The sequence below is a fragment of the Homo sapiens genome, chromosome 5 (assembly GCF_000001405.40).
Source record: "Homo sapiens chromosome 5, GRCh38.p14 Primary Assembly".
NCBI classification, from domain to species: Eukaryota; Metazoa; Chordata; class Mammalia; order Primates; family Hominidae; genus Homo; species Homo sapiens.
In genome coordinates, this window is record NC_000005.10 from 89,445,942 (window position 1) to 89,468,010 (window position 22,069).

At 34.7% G+C, this 22,069-nt stretch overlaps 1 long non-coding RNA gene across 6 annotated transcripts in view; it reads left to right on the forward strand.

The window, feature by feature from the left end:
- The window catches only part of MEF2C-AS1 (MEF2C antisense RNA 1), a 584,252-nt gene extending 562,612 nt beyond the window's left edge, over window positions 1-21,640 (forward strand). For all 6 annotated transcript variants that reach the window (NR_136218.1, NR_136219.1, NR_136222.1 and 3 more), the window contains 2 exons: window positions 19,725-19,834; window positions 19,975-21,640. This is a non-coding gene — a long non-coding RNA (MEF2C antisense RNA 1). The remainder of the gene's footprint in view (window positions 1-19,724; window positions 19,835-19,974) is intronic.
- The last annotated feature ends 429 nt before the right edge of the window (window positions 21,641-22,069 follow it).

The following is a 22,069-nucleotide window of genomic DNA, read 5'->3' on the forward strand; positions in this document are numbered from 1 at the left end:
ATTTCAACTCCATTAGCAGGCAAGCGAAAAGGAGCTGTATCTGAACCCAACAGGTGTTCCTCAGGGTACTTCTCAAGCTTTTGTGTTATCAAATAAGGTAACAGTGTCTTTCCAATGTGGTTTGAACAGAAACAATATTTTCATAGCTTGTTAAGGAAATGAGCAAAAAATAAAACTTAAAGAAAAAACAGAGACATTTATATTGTTATCTCGCCATGTTTTATGTGTATTTTGAAAGTTTTGAAGCTTCTTTTCAGAAGAATGCTTATAGATATATAGCACAATTCACACAACTTGATTCTTACATTAGCTAGAGCTTGTGTTTGAACTAGCCTCTTGGTATTAAATCTTTTATTTTCTTCAATGAAAAAGAATTAGTTGTTAAAAAAGGGTGACACAAAATATACTGACATGGCTTTGTTCAACCACAATACATTATCATTTTTATGATAGTGACTTTCTCCCTAAAAATATGCTTCGTAAATGTGATTGAATGAGAAGGGGAAAAAATCTTTTATTATCTCATCCCTGGAAAGCTTCATTGCCTAAGCTACACTTACTTGCTCCTAAGTATTACAGTATTGAAACAGGTTAGTATGTTGTATAGCAAGTAACTAACGAGACACTAATAGGGATTCCCCCCATGCAGTTAAATACAGCTTGGCAAAAATAATTCCTCTATTATTTATATAAAAGAATATTAAAGCCCCCAAATCTGATTTGGTCTTTCAATAACTAACTCATTTCCTTATAATAAGATTCAGAGTTCAAATTTATGTATGTCACTTTCCTGAGTCTGTTTTCTAAATGTAAGAAAATATATTTATATATAGTATGCAAATATATATATGATAAATACTAATGATAGATATTATACATTTACCATTATCTATATAATGATAGGCCACTTCTTATAACAAGGAAAAAATGTACAAATTCAGTTTAGCCTAGGAATTCTCTGGGTCTTTGGCTACTATCTTCTTGTTTTTCTTTCTCCTCTGGGGGAGAGTAATAAGACAGGCCTGATAAGACTCACAAGTAGTGTTGAAAACAAGTAAAAGTCAATTTACTTCACTAATTTTTGACATGCTGCTTTCTTTTACTGCAGAACGCTAACTCTTTTTTTCTTTTCAGAATCAGTCAATTTTTTTTTTTTTGCAATCTATTTTTTCCCTTAGAAAGTAACCCCTTGTGTCCTACCTTAGGCTCCTCACTGAATGATCTCTTTTTCTTCTAATTATATTTCTTCACCTTGGGAGGGACTCACACTGCTTCAGGATAAGCAACCCAGCAGAGCCTAAGGTCAGGTGTGCCCTAGAATCTAACTCTAGAAATTACAACCATGGAATAAGAGTAGGAGAGGGAAAGAAGAGGCAGAGTGGGAAATTTGTAACGATATTGAGGATCATTCTAAGGAATAATTAACCGAGCAACATCCTATGTTACATCATTTGCTTGAAAGCTCAGAGAACAGAAGAAGGAATTTAGGAAGCTGATCTGAATTTGCTTTCTAAAAGCCACAGGGTCAGCAAATTAGTTGTACCAATGGCGAACCCTTAGAATTTCATTTCCTAAGTATTTTTTGCTCTGGATTCCAAAAAACAGAGTTCTATTCATGAACTGGCAAAACACAGTGTGCCAATGGCATATTAGGTATTTAAGATACTCAAATTAACAACATCTAAAGAAGAAGCAGCGGACTTAATTTGATAGGTGGCTTTCATTCCTCTTTAAAAAAATGGGGCTCAATGAAGCAACCGTGGGGGCCAGCAAAACAGATTTCCAAGATAATTCTTCAAGTGAAAGGGAATTCTATTTGAGGAGAAGTATTGGGATCTTGTGAAACATAAAATCTTCAGGTAGAGGAATTGTAGGTAGAAAATGGAGAAACATTAGCAGAGCTTTTAAACCAAATCTTCAGCTGGGCTTTTGTTTAACACATATGCAAATTTGTGCACTGCTTCACTTGAATATTTATTTACTGCATTTGTGAAGGAAATTGGGGGATTATAGCCTCTTCCCAGCTGTGTTTTAGTTAATGACTGGTCAGCCTATTAGCCTGCTCTACTAAACGGATTCTCTGCACAAGCAACACCTTTTTTTACCCTGACTAGAAATTATTCACATAAACAACAGTGGGGGAAAACAGCAAACCAGATCCAGGGAGAGTTGTGCACCAAAGATGAAAATATTCCCCCAAAATCATCAGGAATAAGCAAGAAAGTTATTTGATGATGATGACTTCTGCATTTTTATAATAAACAAAGCAAACATTTGCTATCAAATGTTGTGGGGGAAAGAAGGAGTTTCCCAGTCAAAATGTGTCTTTACTGAAAAGGGATTCAGGATGCTGTCTTAAGGGGCCTTTTTCTTCTTTTTCTTGTACTTGCTCATTTGTTGCCCCCTATAAGCACAGACATGTTTATCAATGAAAGTTTCATAAATTACTTGGGTGATTATTAATATTTGACATATTCACTGGATGCCTGAATTCACTATTTTCCCATGTCTTCTTATTGCCAAAGAGACAGAAGGAGAAAGAGTAAATAACATTTCTCTAGCAACCAAACACAGTGTACTGTCATTGTTCAAACCAACTCATTTACAGGCATCAGTCCTGGTTTTGAGATAAAATACTTGTATAATGACAAGCTCATTTCTAAAGATTACTAGTGAGCAAATCTTTAGATCAAAAAGCTCTAATATAATAACCTTTGTCTAGCATTCTATCATTTATTGATAAGAAAAAGTAGCATCTATTTTCTAGTAAGTTTATATGTCTCAATCAATAGGGAAGAATGCCTCTTATTCCTAAAGTGTCTGTCTTCTTTAAATCCTTTCAAATTTTGTTTAATGTAGATCCATCCTTCTGGGTGAGAACATGCACTAATTCTAATACAATTAGAGTTAGTTGTATTAGAGTTAATCGATGGAAATGAATGAGCCAAATTCTTACCACCAAAGTTCTGAATTTTTTCTGGCTGGGTCTAAGAAAAACCTGCACTTTGATTTGCTTTTATGAGTAAGGTGATCTTTGTAGAATACATTTAAATGAAGTATTTATCGAAAGTATTAATATTTAAGATGATTTATATAAACAACTCATTTGTGCCTGTTTAAATAGGAAGTATTTCTGCAAATAAAGAGACAGCAGCAGAGAAATTGAGAGCTACTTGGACATGAGAAAATGTTATTGGTGCAAAATGATAATTTCTCACAGTTGGAAAATTGAATATTGTGTGTTAGACTGACAACTTAAATATTTACAGAACAACAACAAATAATAAAGGGAAAGATGCTGTCAGACTTCAAGATAAATAGAAAAGTAACAATTACATTCATAAAAGAATATTACAAGGATAAATATTTTACCTAAGAAACCTGATTTACTTATTTAATTGCTAAGATCATATCCCTTTTCCCTATAATACTTATAACCTCTTTCAAGATAGCAGAAAAGTTTCAGCTATACAGTTTATGCCATACTCCTACATTGGAAGTGAATGGGATGTATATATCAATGGCATCATTTTTCCCCTTCAAACATGAATTTATAAACCATCTCATAAGCTCATCAGGCATATTTCTTGTTCATTCCTTCTGTGGGCAGAGGCAGACAGATTGCTGGATCAGATAGTGCAATACGCTGTATACTGCATTTGAAATGTGCCTTTTTTAAAAGCAGCAGATTTATTGATTTTCTTAAGTAGAAAATATGCACCCGGACATTAGACAAACACAGACTAAACACAGACTGAGGAAAAGCTGATAATTTGATTAAACTGACTGAGCTTTTGTTGTCTGTGTTTGGGGAATTTCCAATAATGTACAAGTGCCAAGCGCCCCTCTTCTGAATTTAACAAATCTAATCCCTAAGCACAATGAAGTTTACAATTACCCTGTATTTGGAGAATTGTTTATCTTTAGAAAAATATTTTGTTGAACTAATATATTCCTTAGGTTGAAAGGAAAGTGGGGTGAATATCTTGCCTTGCTCAAGATACAGGACTTTACTCAGAAATAGGTAATTATTAACCAGACAAATAGCATTGGATGTTGATGCTATAGTTGCTGATATATGCTTATACCAGTAATACCATGAATTTTATTTTGTTGATATCTATGTGTTATTTTGTTTAGTTGCATCTTAACTAAAATATTTAATGTCTAAGAAATATTTTATGTCTATATATTATTTCATAAATGGAAATAGGACATCATTTTTTAAAACATCATTAAGTATTTGAATAATCAAGAATATTGAGAAATAATTGATAAAACGTAATTTACTCAATTTGGGGGCCAGACTGAGTATTTCAGTTTCAAAATGCTTCACTGTGTAGTATCATTTCACATGTCATAGAGAGCTGTTTGACTGTCTTCAGATGTCAAAAAGCTCTGGTTATTTAATTTACCTTTGCAGATGCCTGCAATGAAATTAGTGGCAGCAGGTGTGTGTGTGGGTGGGGAGCTAGAGGGATGAGGGAGTAATAGCTAAAAGTATGTGAGGATTGCTGAGTTTTATGAATTAGTTGAAGGAGACCTTATGAACTTTTATTGTGAACACCTCTGAACTGTCCTTGTATCTCTTTTTTTCTCATTTATACCATGATATTTAGAACAGAATCTAATTCCCTAATATTCTGTAAACACCATGCTGTAAAATAACTATTCCCAGCTGCTTCACCATAGAGACTCTTATCTTTACTGTTTCCAAAGCCTCCACTTGCTAGGTGTTTAATTATTCTTTTTGCATATTGTTCTGAACCTCCTATTAACCATTATTTCACAATGATATGTACCACTAGCTGAATCCTGAGATTTTCATGTCTTATCATAATGATATTTTCCCTCTTTCTAATTTCTGCCAACTCGATTCATATTGGATAGCTCTTCCAGAACTCTCCACTCTAGCTCATTTGGCTAGTAAGATATTTGATTACAACTTTTCAAAAATTTCTGTGCATATATTTGAAGGTCTAGATTTTTTTCCTTAGCCTATGTATACACATATGCATACATAAATATATATTTATGCATATATTTATATGCATAATTTATAAATGTATACATGGATGTTTATACATATACATTTATGTATATATACACACACACACATATATATTTAAGCAGAGATAGACCCTAAAAGGTAATTATTACAGTGACCAAGTAGAGTCACAACGCAGAAGTCACCAGTTTCATAAAAACTGCTGATCACTGGTGGGACACCTAAAGAATTAGCAAGATAATTTCAATCTTGCTTCTCATTACTTACTGAAATTAAAATTCAATTACAGAGTCTACTGTGCTTTTTTAATTTCTTTCAAATCTAGAATATTTATGGCAAATTAAGGTAACACTGAAGTTTAAAATCATTTTGCTTTTCTTGTATTAAGATAGGAATTATTGAATGATTGATCTCAGTTGTTTTGAGGATGTTTAAACCAAGCCACATAAGAGACAGATTTAAAGATAATTTAAACCTATTCTCTTTCTGATTTGCCTCTCTGCCTCTTAAGTGTATGACAAAGACATTTTCCACCAATTCTTTTTCACCCAGCATGAACTCATTAGGGGAAATAACATATAAGGAAAAGCAAGCTGCCAGTTTCTCAGAGGACATTTTATTAGATGTGTGAGTCTTATTCCAATAACTTCCAATGGCAATTCAAATATGTCTCATCTCATTCTGTAATTAATATTTTTACATTTAGAATTAATATATGTATACACACACAGATTCTTTTTAGTGTTCTAAGAACTCCATCAAATGTAACCAAATTGTAGTCTTTTTAACTCATTTTCTTGCTCCTTTAATCCACCCTTATGAAAAGAATCTGGGGGAGAAAGTCATTCTCACTAACCGCATCAAATATGACATTCTGGTGCTTAATATTGGGATGATAGTTTTCCTTAGAGAAGTCAATCTATTTGGTTGAATGACTAGAACTCAGGAAACCTTGTGATTTCACCTTGGGCAGTTTATGTATTTTTTCTCCATATCTGTTTCCTCATCTGCAAAATAAGAAAGTTAGAATAAATGTTCCTTCCAACTTAAGGCTCTAAAGTAATAATATTTATGTTCTATAGAGTTTTATTTTCTCTCTGTTAAGACTTTCTTTTATTTACAATGATGAGACCCTTTGAACTTGATAATCAGGGCTGTCATTAGAGTCTAGAGTCCCTGGGTATTGAGTCAAACTCCTATGACCCATACTCCATGAAACCTAATTCAAATCACAAAACAATGCTGTGGGTGGTATAGTTGTGTGCTCTAGCAGCATGTGGGAGGCTTTACTGGAAGGTATCAACTGAAAGGAAACACACATGAAAATATCCCGTCACCCACACTGAAACCTTCCGCAGTAGACTGAGGCCTTTCATGGGATCTCCCAAGCTTGACCGCCCACTGATGCTATCCTGTCATCAAACTTCTCTTCTCTCTTTCAAAAAATTATTAAGCACAGACTCTTATAATATATTCTTTGCTGGTGATGCGTCTTCCAAATACCTTGAAATAACTAGCTTTTCATACAAGGTTTTAATGCATTTATTTTTTTACCCAAACATTCTACATAGTTTTTTCTTCATAGCACTTGAAATTTCCTGGACTTTGGTAGGATGGAGAAAAAAACAGACTTGGTAATCTCTATTGAGGAAATTGTTTTTAGATAGTAGCAACATTATTTCCTATATCTAAATAGAAAGAAATAACTTTGCCTTAAATGTAGGTTATTCAATTATTTTTAAAGTAGCAGAAGCTTTTATTAATTGGCAGTCTTCTTAAACTCTTAATTTTATCTCTTGACAACAATATTTAGTTTAGATTTTAATTTTTATTGTTTTCATGGATATATGTTTTTTTCAAAGATGTAACATGCCTTAACTGGACTATAAGTCTACACAGATTACGTATGACCAAATGTTAGCCATATTCTCTTATAAAAAAAAGCCATTACTGTTTTCAAAGTGTTATTTCTTCTAATGCAGATATTTACAGTAATGCAAACGAAATTATAATAACCTATTAGGTTTTTAGAGTAGAGAAGAATGATATAGCTGCCCATGTCATGTTATTCATATATTCAGAAAACTAAAGGCTGCTTCTTGGCTGGATGTGGTGTCTCACACCTGTAATCCCAGCACTTTGGGAGGCTGAGGCGGGTGGATCACTTGAGGCCAGAAGTTTGAGACCAGCCTGGCAAACATGGCAAAACCCCGTCTCTACTAAAAATATATTTTAAAAAATAGCTGAGTGTGGTGGCGCACACCTATAATCCCAGCTGCTGGGGAGTCTGAGGCAAGAAAATCACTTGAACCTGGGAGGCAGAGGTTGTAGTGAGCAGATATCATGCCACTGCACTCCAGCCTAGGTGACAGAGCAAGACTCTCTCTCAAAAACAAAGAAAAAAAAGAGAAAAGAAAACCAAAGGCAGCTTCCTCTAATCATTAACAGTATTATAATTATTTTAAGTACTCTCTTAAGAAATCACACATAATAGTAAAAGTATAGATTTTTTCATAGTAGTAAGTTAATGATTTTTATTCCAAAGATAGATATTTATCAAAATTTAACCTACATTACTTGAACAAGTATGTATTGATCTAGACAATAGTGGTAGAGAAGGAGGAAGGTATAGATAAGATATGGTTCTAGACACAAAGTTATTCCTAATCTATTGGAAGAGATAAGGAAGGGGTAACAGTAACTATAGTAGAAGGTGGTAAGACATTTAAATTTAAAAATGTGTGTGTGTGTGTGTGTGTGTCTGAACTGAAAGTTTTGGCAGGAAGAAACAGGGAAGACTTCAGGTGAGGTTGACATCTGTGTTGCTCTTTAAAGGAATGACTATTTCAACATATGGAAAAAGTGGGGAAACCTCTTGACCATGTGAAGGCAGTGGCATCACCACTGTGTTATTAACCAAGTTCATTCAAGAATGATAAGCAGACCAGACACAGTGGCTCATGTCTGTAATCCAAGTGCTTTGGGAGGCTGAAGCACAAGGTTGGCTTGAGGCCAGGAGTTTGAGACCAACCTGGGCAACACAGTGAGACCACATCTCTAAAAAAGGAAAATGATAAGTAGGATTTGGCGGGAAAAGTGCAGGGTATTTGGAGAGAACTTGCAGGTTGTGTATCACAAAAGTTAGGCACTTCCTGATTTGTAGCGGGCCTTGAAAGCCTTAGGTTTTGTTTTATAGGCAGTAAGAACTCATTAAGGTGAATGAAGATAGAAGAAAATGAGTGGCTTGCAATAATGAACTGGGAGACAGAAATGAGCAGTCAAGAGAGAATCATGTAGGGAGAGAATACAATAATGTGGATAAACCAAAATGAAAGTCTGAATAAAAGAATGCCAATAGAAAGGAAATGGAGCCATTAGGTGCATGAGAAATTCCAGAAAAAAATTCAGAGATTATGAAGACTATTAAATATATGTCCATGGGGGGAATGTACGGACACAAAAGGGATTTGAGACTGGACTGCTAGAAGAGTGATAAAACTACTAACATAAAACACACATGGGGATGGTAAGAAAAGAAGACAAATATGGTGAAAACAACTTTATGCACATTATTTAGAGCCATCCAAATGACACTGGAAAAGGAACTCAGCTACAGCAGTGTGACTGTGATATGGTAGAGTAGGAGAAGCCTGAGCTTTTTTTATACCGGAAGAAGTAGTATAAAACGAAAGTGTTAAATGAAATGAAAGGCCAGGTAATAAATCAACTAGAGAATGATATCAAAGATAATTATATTTATCATTGAAATATTCTTTCTGTCACCAATTAAAAACCTCTTCATGCCTTCCTCTCCCAGCCCTGACCTTCTCCCAGGCTTGAGATCTTGATTATGATCTGAACTGTGAAGTTAGAATGAAGAATTAGTTGGTTGTTATCTTCATAGAGGTGAAAGTAAGACTTTCGGAAGTGGATGGTATCAGGAAATGCAGTGAGAATAGGGAAGATAAAGGAAAGAGCCTTAGAGGAATGCCTAGATTTAGGTTTGTAATAGAAGCAAGAGAAATAGAGAAAGCAAAGGGAGAGACATTGGAAGAGAATCTAGAGAGAAAGTGTCAGGAAAATTGACTTTTCTGGAAGGAGGAAAAGAGAAGTGGTCAAGAAATCCCATATGCTTTGGTGAGATTCATGCAGATAGTAATGAGAGGAAGCAACCAGAGAAGAAATATTATAAGATGTTTGACTCAAAGGCAAGATTTTCAGATGTTGCAGGGAGATGTAGGGACTGTCCTGATTAAGGCTGAGTAGGACAAGGTAAATACTAGGTAGGGAATGAGGCAATGGGTGGATAGGACAAAAGTGGCGAAAAAGAGAGAGAGAAAAAAAGAAAGAATGAAAGAAAGAAAGAAAGCAAACAGTGGGGAGACAGGGTCAAAATTTGTGTGGAATTTGTAATCATGCATAAAAGTTGATTGAAGAGGTTATGTGGAAGAACTTTTTAGGAATAAAGAAGAATTTGGTTAAAATAATGTGTAGAGGGCCTGGTGCAGTGGCTCACGCCTGTAATTCCAGCACTTTGGGAGACTGATGCCGGTGGATCACCTGAGGTCAGGAGTTCAAGACCAGTCTCACCAAAATGGTAAAACCCCCGTCTCTACTAAAAATACAAAAATTAGCTATACATAATTGTGGGTGCCTGTAATCCCAGCTACTTGGGAGGCTGAGGAAGGAGAATCACTTGAACCCAGGAGGCGGAGGTTGCAGTGAGCTGAGATCATGCCATTGCACTCCAGCCTGGGTGACAAGAGTGAAACTGCATCTCAAAATAGTAATAATAATAATAATAATATAGAGAGCTAATCATCCCCAAAGTTGCAGTTGTAATGTCAAAATGTCTGACAACTTGAAATCTTGGTCATCAAGGTTTATTGGTTCTACTGAAAACCTTGCCATTAAGCTGATGATATTAGGTCACAGATTTTGAGACAACAGTCTGATATAGACTGAACTGTATCCTGCCAAAATGTATATGTTGAAGTTCTTACCCCCAATATGATTATATTTCCAGTTGGGGCCATTGTAAGGTAACTAGGTGCAGATGAGGTCATAAGGGTTGAGTCCTCATAGTGGATTAGTGCCCTTATAAGAAAAGACATCAGACAACTAACTCTCCTTCTGCCATGAGGGGATGCAGCAAAAAACTGGCCAACTGCAAGCCAAGAAGTGAGTGTTCACCAGAACCTGACTATGCTGTCACCCTGTTCCTGAACTTTCAGCATTCAGAACTGTGAGAAATTAAGTTTCTGTCATTCAAGCCAGTCAGTCTATGATATTTTGTTATGGCAGACCAAACTGACTAAGACTCAGTCATTGATACTTTTTTTCCCCTAATTTGTGGTATTTATAGTTGTACCATCTTATTATCATCTCATTCAAGATCGTGAAACTTGTGAAAGAATTAAAACAGAATCCTACTCTTCAAAAGGTTTGAATAGAAATAAGTAATAAGTGATTAAAATAGAATTTAGGCTTGTGAACTAATAAAAAAAAGTAATAAAAATCATAAAACAGAGAAAGAAAGGAATGAAGGATAAAAGAAATAGAGTCCTTTGGAATCATAAAATGTCTTGCAAACGTCATCAAGTAGAATAGATTAGCAACAATACCAATTGAAATGGATTGACCTCTTACTACATTCTAGGCACCTTCACTTTCCAAAGCTTTTTCATTTATCCTCAAATAACCTTCTGAGGAAGGTGAAATACCATTTCTACCCTCATTCTATAAGGTAAAAATAAAGCCCAGGGAGGTAAAATGAAACTTTCCCAATATTACAGTGAAATAGCAATTCCAATGCAAGCCTATGAAAGAGCTAGGACTATACTTTAAAGCATTCATATGCTCCATAAGATTTACCTCAGTAAAAACTATTTTCTCCTTATTTTTTACTTATATATAAAGCTACACCCACATAAAATACTTTTTATTAGCATTTACTTACTACTTCTCAATCTTAAAACGGAGGCAAATGTATATGAAATGTCTAGGACAAGGTTTAAATTTTAAACTTTTAAGAATATGTTCCTGAAATGTTCACCATTTAGCTAAACTCTAGTTACTTTTCTATCTTCACACAAACCCGCAACGAAGATCTAGTATCTTGATCAATCCAAGTGAAAGGAAAAACTTTTATTTTTCAATGTGTCTCTCTTATTTCCTAATTGCAATTAAAAAATTGTCTATCTAAGTTTAGTTGTGACTTTCAAACTTGGATTTTAAAATAGAAAAGGGAACTATAACACTCTTCCTAGTGTTAAGTCTGACAGTTTAGGTGTGTTGTCATTAGTGGAGTAAGTAAACAAACTCTGACTTTATCTAGCCCAGGTTGTTTTACACCTAACTGATTTTATTAATGAGATCTTGTTCAGCCCCTCCAGTGTGTTGGCTAGAACACTGAGCTGGATGGCCTGTGTTTTATTTAGATCAGCACATTTTGTGGCTATGGGATGGTTAACACACTTCCTTGGGGTTCTGGGTGGTGGAAGCAAGTAAAATTTTACTAGGTGGCCTTAGAGGGAACCCGTGGTTTTATACTACTTCCAGGAGAGGAAGAGCAACAGGGAGCGACTTGATCCTGCTGGAGACATTGTCCAAGGGTGCGTTAACAGGAAAGGATGTCCAGGACAGAGCTGGCCAATTCTGCTAGAGGCCAGCTGACATTCATGTGGTTTATCTAGATCATCCCTATGAATGTCACTGAGGAAACAGTGTTTAACTTCTTAAAATATCTCCTACAAAACTAAAAGGAAATTGCACCAAGTATGGCATCTGGGAGTGAGGTACACAGCTGCCAAAGACAGGAAATCTAAAGTAAAGCTGCCTCCCCCAACCATTAGATTCCTTTAAAAATAATTCAGATTCTATGATAATCTAAATGAATACAGTCAGAGAGATTCTGAATTTCATTGTTTTCTAAGCAGTCTAAGCTAATGTGTCTCAGATTTTCCATTGGTGGTTGGTGTGATGATGCAAATAGAAGGAACAGGTTGGTGATTTGTATTAAAAAAAGACGTAGAACAACTTCCAATTGGTTACAATTTACAGTTGGCCAAGGAGTAAACACAACTTCTAGACTTGCCAGCCTTCTCAAATTGGCCATTTTTATCTCTCTTCCTGCGCTAGTTGCTCAAAGCCATATCCAAAAGTACCCTGACACAAAACCACTGAAGGGTGTGGTCTCTGCTTGTCCTGGGCAATGAACAGGGAAGCTATTTATGTCTAGGGCATCTCTATTCAGTGACTCATGTTTCGACTGGAAAATTGGCCACAGCTTTCTAGCAGCTCTTTCCTGCCAGCTCTCCTGGCATGCTACCCAATGCTTCCACTGCCCCACCCTCTCTCTCCTTGCCCAGTCTGCTTTTATATTCCTGAAGCCCCCACTTAATAATAGTCATTGTTCCATGTTAACCTTGAGGATCTGGGAGAAAGGACAATGAAGGGCATAGCTGTATGCTGTAATGAGCATTTGGCGCTATAGCAGGTGGAAAAGGCTTTGGGGATCTGGGCAGATTAGGAGGAGAGGGGGCTCTAGCAGATGTTGAAGCAAGATGATGTATTGCTGCTCACTCTGGGATTCAGACAATACCAGTGCAAAAGTAGAATAGGGAAAAGGGGAAAAAATTGATCCCTTCTGAAACAAACTGCACTAGAAACCAGACACACTTGAAAGTGAGCATTTAAGAGACAAATTTGTTGCCAGGCCCTGGGTTTTCTCCTGCCTTTTCTTTCTCTCTCTCTCTGTCTCTCTCTTTCTCTCTCACTTTCTCTTTTCTGATAGCATATCAATTGCCAAATTGTCCTTTTAATTAGATTGTTAACTACATCCAGGGCTGGACATATTTCCTATCAGTTTAAGGTTCTTATTAATATGACTTTTTTGCACCAAAAAAAAAATAGCAGTGGATGGATCAAGAATTTCATTTTCATTTTAGCCTTATCTGAGAACCAGGAAGCCATGTTAAGCAAAGGCAAATGCCATTTAAATGATGATTAGTTCACCATTTGAAGAAATATATATTTAAAGCTGTCCTTTTGCACTGAGCTAGGCAATTAAATAACAAAAATGTTGACATTAACAAATGCTTCATTCACTTTATAAAGAATAATACAAATAAACCTTAATCTTAATAGGTTTGTGATATTTTCAGTTCTGATTTTTAATATTTATTGCAATATGTTTTGTAAAATTCTAAAAATAAAGATAGATGAATTACCTACTGTAAGATATGGTTTGCACAATTATTCATATATATGCATTCACACACATGTATATAATACATTCTGGGTGTGGAATGAAAGCCAAAATCCAAGTATTCATCAAATGTAGACAAAAAAAAATCACAATCCTTAAATGTTGATAACACTGAAAACAATTGTGGACAAACATATTTCAGAGAGTGGTATATATGAAGGTTTGGATTGTCAAAAATTAGTCCTAGGAATTTTAGCTTCCCTTTTCCTCAGCACTCAATACATTTACTCTACCACATCAATTTGAATAAAAACAGGAACAAAATCTATTGATATTTCACCCATAAGAAAGACATTAGAAGCTAGAGATTGTAACCTATAACTTTTATCTACTTGGCTACATTGTCTATGACTAGATTTACTTAGAGACCATCTTTATGATAGGAAAAAATGATAGAGCAAATAGAGAAATAATGATGAGAAGAATTTTCCTCTTTCTAGTAACAGTTAATTGACTAGAAAGCCTGTTTGTGCTCATCATATATTATTTAGATTTTATTTAAACAGTAGCAGTTAAGTCGAGTACTACTATTTACATTGTCATAAATCTGATTTGAATAAAGTTTCATAGATTTTGTGTCTGCACTGCCATATCTACAAAGCAGTAAAAGGCACTAGCTGGGTAGGTAGTTATCAAGAATGACAAATATCCTAAAGTTGTTAAATCTCCCATTCTGAGGAGTTGAAGTGGGAAATGGAGAGATTATTCAACTCTATCAACATCTGATACAGTAATTTGACTTACTTAATCATTATGTCTCATCTTCCATTATTAATTTAAACAATTTTGGAATTTATGTATTCACGAATCAGACTTGTGTGATAGTAAATACGCATTAAAAATAGTATTTTGTGGAATATTTCAGAACTTGTACTTTTTACCATTTGTTCTTAGGCAGGTAGAATCAAGTAGTTCACTAAGGCTTGAATAATAGAGGGTAAACCTCCTAGTTCTAAGATGTCTGATATCTGCTCTGTAAAAAAATAAAATAAAATCACCCAAATTTCACTACAATAAAACAAGAGCCATTTTATTATGCTCAAACAATCCATGGGTCAGAACAAGGCAGAGTGGATATGGCTTATTCTATTATCATGCTCTATGTCTGCAGCATTAATTGAGGAAACTCAAATGATGGAGATTACCAGTGTTGCTGGGGTGTGGAATGAGCTAGAAGCTCGTTCATTCACATAAATGTTGCCTGGTTGGAATACCTCCAAATCTGAACTCAGCTTTGACTGTCAATGGAGTGCAGCTTGTGACCTCTCCATGTAGTTTGAGCCTTTCAAAAAATGAAGTGTGGCTACCTACAACCAACTGATTTTCAAAAAGTCAACAAAAATATGAAGTGGAAAAAGGACACTCTATTCAGTAAATGGTACTGAAACAATTAAATAGCCATATGCAGAAAAATGAAACTGGACCCCTATCCTTTACCATATATAAAATTAACTCAAGATTAATAAAGACTTATATGCAAGACCTGAAACTATAAAAATCTTATAGGAAAAACTCTTCCAGACTCTGGCATAAGCAAAGATTTTATGACCAAGACCTCAAAAGCAAATGCAACAAAAAGAAAAATAGACAAATGGGTCTTAATTAAAGAGCTTCTGCACAGCAAGAAAAAATAATAATAATAATAAACAGAGTAAACAAACAACTTACAAAATGGGAAAAAATATTTGCAAACTATGTGTCTGACACAGAACTAACATCCGGAATCCAGAAGCAACTCAAAACAACTCAAGAAGAAAAAAACAATCCCATTTAGAAGTGGACAAAGGAAATGGACAGACACTTCTCAGAAGACATACAGGTGGCCAACAAACATGAAAAAATGCCCAATATCACTAATCATCAGAGAAATGAAAATCAAAACCACAATGAGATGCCATCACACACCAGTCAGAATGGCTGTTATTAAAAAGTTAAAAAGCCACAGATATCGGTGAGGATGTGTAGAAAAGGGAATGCTTATACACCGTTGGTGGGAATGTAAATTAGTACAACCCTTACAGAAAAAAATATGGAGATTTCTCAAATAACTAAAAATTGAACTACCATTCCACCCAGCAATTTCACTACCGTGTATCTACCCAAAGGAAATCATTATATCAAAAAGACACCTGCACTTGTATGTTTATGACAGCAGTATCTGCAATAGCAAAGTCATGGAATCATATAAGTGTCCATCAACAAATGACTGGATGAAGAAAATGTAGTATATAAACCCCATGGAATACTCTGCAGCCATAAAAAGAATAAAATCATGTCTTTTGCAACAACATGATTGAAACTGAAGGCCATTGCCTTAAGTGAAATAACTCAGAAATAGAAAGTCAAATATCACATGTTCTCACCTATAAGTGAGAGCTAAACAGTGGATATACATGGACATAGAGGGTGGAATAATAGACACTGAGTATTTCAAAAGCGGGGAGTGTGGGAGAGAGGTGAGGGTTGAAAAATTACCTACTGGGTATAATGTTTACTATTTAGGTGATGGGTACACTAGAAGCCCAAGCCTCACCATCATGCAATATATCCATGTGACAAACCTGCACATGTACCTCCTGAATCTATAAAATTAAAATTAAAAATGATATATGAGATCTAAAAGAGAGTAGCTGGAAAGGAAATATCCAGAGGGTGATCTGTCTATGAGACCAAGGAAGAAGCTGCAAGGCTCCTTCTGACCTGGCCTCAAAATTCATATGTCATCCTTCCAGCCTCATTTTATTGATTTCAGGAGAGCCACTAAGGCCAGCACAGGTTCAAGAGAGAGACTCCACAACTTGATCAGGGAGTGGCAAGGTCATATTGCAGAGGAGCCTGTAAGATATGGTATAGGAGTTTCAGCTGTCTTTGGAAAATGCAATGTGCAAGTTGTCTTTCTCACAACATATATTTATCAGGTTTTTAATTAAATTTTTAAGCCATAATTTATGTAAAAATCTGAGGATAAAAAATGTGCATATAAATGTAATAAACAAGTCTAAATATCTGTATATTTCTAAAGCACTGGTAGCTGGCTATGGTACTAAAAATGTATTCTCTGAAATCTGATAAATCAGTTTGAATCCCAGTTTTGCCACTCATTAGATGTAGGCATGGATAACTTTCTAAAATCATTGAAGCCTGATTTTTCGTTTACAAAATGGAGATGAAAATAATACACACTTCACACAATTATTAAGATAGAGTGATATATTGCATTTAAACCATACAACTATCAGGCTATCCAAAAATGTCCGTTGTCTATATGGGTGTAGGCTTTGTCTGTGATGATGAAATAGGAATGCAGACATTTCTACAGATAAATCAATAAAAGTATTGAATTGGTATAATTCATGACAAATGTTCTAAAGTAGTACAATGCTTTATTTTAATACTTAATATTAAAATTGCAATGTCAATTTTTCTGAGATTTATTGAAGCCTTTAGTAGTATGATGAATCTTCAAATCATGTAGTTCTGTGTATACAGACTACATTTATTGTCCCATCCAGAGCTATTAAGTCAATATTCATCTGTTTAATGACTATTGTTTAAGCCAGGCCCTAGTGATACACTGACAATCAAGGCAGTCTTTAAAAAAACAAAAACAACAACAAAACAAAAGCAAAAAACCGAGTTTATAAATTGTGAGAAGAAGAATTAACTCTTCTATATGGGAATGGGTATTAATTCTGTTATATAGGAATGATTAGGAGGGATTAAGATGAAGGGGCTAACAGATATAAGAAAACTCATTCACTCATCACTAGATATTTAAGTGAGTGACCATTATAATGCAGACTATGTGGTAGACAATAGAATATAAAGATGATCAAGGCACAATCCCTACTTTAAAGGAGTTCGCCTATGAGGAAAACTGATACATTGAAAGATAATTCTAAAGCAAAATTTTAGTCAATAATAACTTAATTGTACATTTTAAAATAATTTAAAGAGTGTAATTGGATTGTTTGTAAATCAAAGGATAAATGCCTGAGGGGATGGATACCTCATACCTCCATGATGTGTTAATTTCACACTGCATTCCTGTATGAAAACATCTCATGTACTCCATAAATATATATATCTACTATGTACCCACAAAAATTATAAAGAAATAAATAAGTAAAAATAGTAGTGTGCCCAAGTCAGGTTATGTGGTGAAGGCTTCCTGTAAGAGGTGATGCGGAAATTTGGTATCCAGCACGATTATGAAGTAATTTGATGAAATCAAGTAGGAGAGAGGAGTGGGGGGAAAAGGTCATAAAACTTTCTTTCTTTGAAGGTTTCCTCTGAAATTGTGCTACTTGTCTGCATAAACATGATAGAGTATGTGGTGGACATTTTGCCCAGATCATGAAGTTTTACCCAGGTCATCTTCCAGAGAAGTACTCTTGTCCAGATACTGGGTATGCTATTGACAGGTAACCTTTAGCCATCAGCCCCTTCTAGAAATTGCCTCAGCTAGGCAGAGTCACCTCATCCAAGGTCAGTCATGGAAAGCCAACATCCATGACTGATGAGGGCTTGTGTATAAAGACTTGGCCATTTTTGCCCACATGAGGGAACACTGAAGGGCCATTTCAGCTCCAGAGCTCCCATTGAGAAGGCTGACCTTGGGTCTATGATGCAGTTCAACTTCTCTCTGCTTCTTTCCTTCCCTTTCACAGCTATTGATCTCAAGAGTTCTCCTTAATCAATATCCTCCACCTCTGCCTTTGATTCTGCTTCCTGGGAAACCCAACCTATGACATTATGTTAAATAGAATAAATTTCAAGAAATTTAATTGTAAATTTTTCTTTGTCTACTGGATCCTTATAATATGAGCATTTCCCTCACTTTGTGTTTTTAATAGACTACTCAAATATTAGTCACATCAGTCTTCATTGTAAAAATAATTACTCAAATTTGGTTGAAAAATATTACTTAGAAAGCACAGCAGTAAGCTGAGTTTTAGTCATGAATCTCTCATCTATTTATCATTTGATCATATTTTTGGATAGCTGCTTGCCAAAGCTAAAAATTTTAATCAGAGCCATTTTTGAGTAGGAAAAGCAGAAAGGATGCCTTTGAAAGCAATAATTCTTTTTTTGTTCTTTTTACTCTTATACAATTTAAAAATAGTCAACTGGATTTTAAAATTTTAAATTGATAAATAAAACTGCATTTGATCCTTGCCAAGTTGACTCATATATTTTATGGATGAAATTAGATTAATTAAGATACTATAAATTCCATGAAGTTATTTATTTTACTCTTCAGTTGAATAGCAAATATTAACTTCGGTTACACAATGAACATGAGAGAGAATTATCTTGAGAGGTTTTACAATATTTATTATGATAATTTGTTTTGTTGCATTTACATAATATTTTAAAATACTGTGTAGTCTTACAGCCCAATCCTTCCATGCATACTCACAATTAGGGCTTGTTTCTTGATGCCGGTATGTAATCATTTGTCCCTTATACTCCAATAAAAATACAGTGGAAGAAGCACAGCTCTTTGGCTTTGCTATGTTTCTTTTGGTTGCTATTGAGGTGGCCCTCATTTTTCCTTCCTTCTTTGCGTTAGTCTTTTCTAAAATAATCACAGAGTCCATGTGAAGGACAATAACAACAATAATAATAGCTAATATTTGCTGAATTCACACTATATGCTTATCATGGCTCTAATTCCTTCACATGTATCAATTTATTTAAGTCTCATAATAAAACTTTGGCGTTATTATTTTCCCCGTTTTAAAGAAAATAGACAACCCTTATCTAGAATGAGGGAGAACTGCTATAAAACGTTGTACATCATGATTACTTCTATTTTGGGGATTACGTATAACTTCTAGCTGTTAATCAAATGAGAAGCATAGCTTGTGCGTCTGTTAGGGGAGGTAAAAAAAACAGAAAATTAATATAAATGTTTCAACCTCTTCTGAATATGACGTAAGGAATTTATAAAGGAAGAAACTGAATCACAAAGTGGCAGATGTTTTCCTGAGATCTCTTTAATATGAAGAATAGTATAGTTAAGCATGGTTATGTGTGTTTATGTTTCTGTGCTTGGGGAATGCTTAAAAATGGAGAAGGAATTCATCAAATTGTCCAAGTAGCTGCCCATGGGTACTGGAGAATGGAGTAGGTTCTCATTTATCTAATTTTCACACTTTCCAATTTTCTATAAAGAACACGTATTATGTATTTGAAATACTGAATTTGAAAGAATGTTAAATGCCAAAACCCTACTTCCATAAATATTTATCTGATATTTGATGTTATTTCCCTCCTATATGTAAAATTTTACATAGTTAAGTTTATGAATTATATTTGCTTTCAAAACTCATTTTTCAATTAAACATTATTTATTTATTTATCTATTATCTATATTGTGACAAACAACTATTGCCCTGATTCCTCACATCCAAAGAGTAACTCCCTTCTCTCACCCTATAGGATTATAGGACTGTGTATGTCCTACACACACATTATATGTCCTACACGCACAGTGATGAGGAGTGACAAAATGAAGACTCCAGAATCCTCTTTATCAGATCCTGAATGTGGTAGGAAATGTTAGGCCTCTAATGCATTTATATACTTTCATAGTTATTCATATTTTAATTGGGAAGTTAATATTACTAGTATTGTTAATGTATAATTTAAAGTCTCATTATAATGCAATTTTCTCATGCCTTTTTTTTAGCACTTTCTGAAGTGAAGTCCACTATGTGCTGGGCACACAGAGAATAGAGCATGAAACAAAAGCAACATGACCCTGCCCTCACCAAGACTACAGGGAGTGATGGAGCATACAACTTTGTTTCAGAATGCAATTCAGATCTTCCCTTTCGCTTGGCTTCTTAAAACTTCTTTTGAGGATGGTAAAATTTCGTGTTATATTAAATTTCATCCTGTAACTGATACTCTGGGATGATGTTGGCCAATAACTAGCAAGACTTTAAATAATCAACTAGTTTAGGCATTGCTTAGCACGCTCCAGCTGACTTCACAAGTAAAACCATGTGAAGAAAGAAGGTTTTCAGGTAACACAGATGGAGGTGATGATCTTTCTCATTTTGTGGAAAATATTAATTTCTCATTTTTTATTCACTGACAATTAGTAAAATTCCTTACTCTACCTAATATGTAGACTTCTGAACTATGTAAGTAAAACTTTATAGTAACTGAAAAGTTTGGGTATTGTATTTTCTTGGAGAAAATGTTAGCTTCCCTCTGTTACTTTTAAATGTTAAACTTTTAATGAATTTCATCAATGTATAATAATGGGCATAATGATCCACTCTGAAATATTTACTGTCATTTTGAATTTATTCTTGAGTCATCACAAACGTGTACATCTCTTATACCTTCATGGATGTTATTGGTGAGATGATCTCTTGTTGTCAACACCTTGAGGATAGGGACTTATTCAGGCTCGCCTCTAGCAAGTGCTAAGTGCCTGGGAACACATAATAAATATTTCATGATAGGAGGATGTTAGAATAAGAGGAAAAACCAGATTCTTACCCAAATAAATAATATTTATTATATTCTTATTTGTATATCATTGTAACTGTAAAAAAAAGTTGCCTAGGGATTTGTTTTATTTGTACAAATACTTGTTTTTTGTATGTAAGAGTGCCAAATATAAAACTGCATAACATTTAGAAATTACAGAAATGTGTATATATTTATATAGAGACAAGAAAAATAAAATTTTCATTCTATCATATAGAAATAACTACATTTGAAGTTATTTCCCTCCTATATGTAAACTTTTACATAGTTAAGTTTATACAATATATTTGCTTTCAAAACTCATTTTCCAATTAAACATTATATCCATTAGAATGTTCATGACATCCTTTATTTATGCCTTAAAATTTTTTTAAATACGGTAATGTATATGTCTACAACCATTTCTGTTATCTAAAATGTGGGGCTATTATTAATAATAGTAATTGCAGTCATTTCCAGAGAGAGTTTGTTCTGTGCTAGACATTGTGTACTTTTTACAACTAATTTGTTAGGCTAGTTACTACATTTAATTTCAAGTGAAAGAGTTTAACAGAAGTTAAACAGGCCAGGCGCGGTGGCTCACACCTGCAATCCCAGCACTTTGCGAGGCCGAGGTGGGCGGATCACTTGAGGTCAGGAGTTTGAGACCAGCCTGGCCAACATGGTGAAAACCCATCTCTACTGTTAACACAAAAATTAGCAGGGCATGGTTGCATGCACCTGTAATCCCAGCTACTTGGGAGGCTGAGGCCGGAGAATCGCTTAAGCCCAGAGGTGAAGGTTGCAGTGAGCCAAGATTGCGCCAGTGCAGTCCAACCTCGGCAACAGGGCAAAGACCGTCTGCCCCTGCAAAAAAAAAAAAAAAAAAAACTAAAAGGAAAAAAAAAAGTTAAACGTGTTTCATAGTGGAGTCAGAATTTGAACACAGGCTTTACCTCATTCTCAATATCAGTCTATTAACCACTTTGCTGTTTTTGCTCCATATTACATATATCATGATATGTAAAATATTTGCTCCATATTACATATATCATGATATGTCGATAAAAATCTTTGTGGTATAGGCTTTGCACACATTTTCGATTATATCCTGAGATATATTGTCAGAAATAGAATTACACATTCAAAGGGTGAACCCTTATTTGAGGCTTTTAATACATTTGTTCAAATTATTTTCAAAGTGTGTTCATCATATTCACATTGCTATCCCAGTGTAGTGGATCTTAGTATTGGTTATTTTCACTGTATTTGATATTTGTTAATTAGATAGGACAAAATGT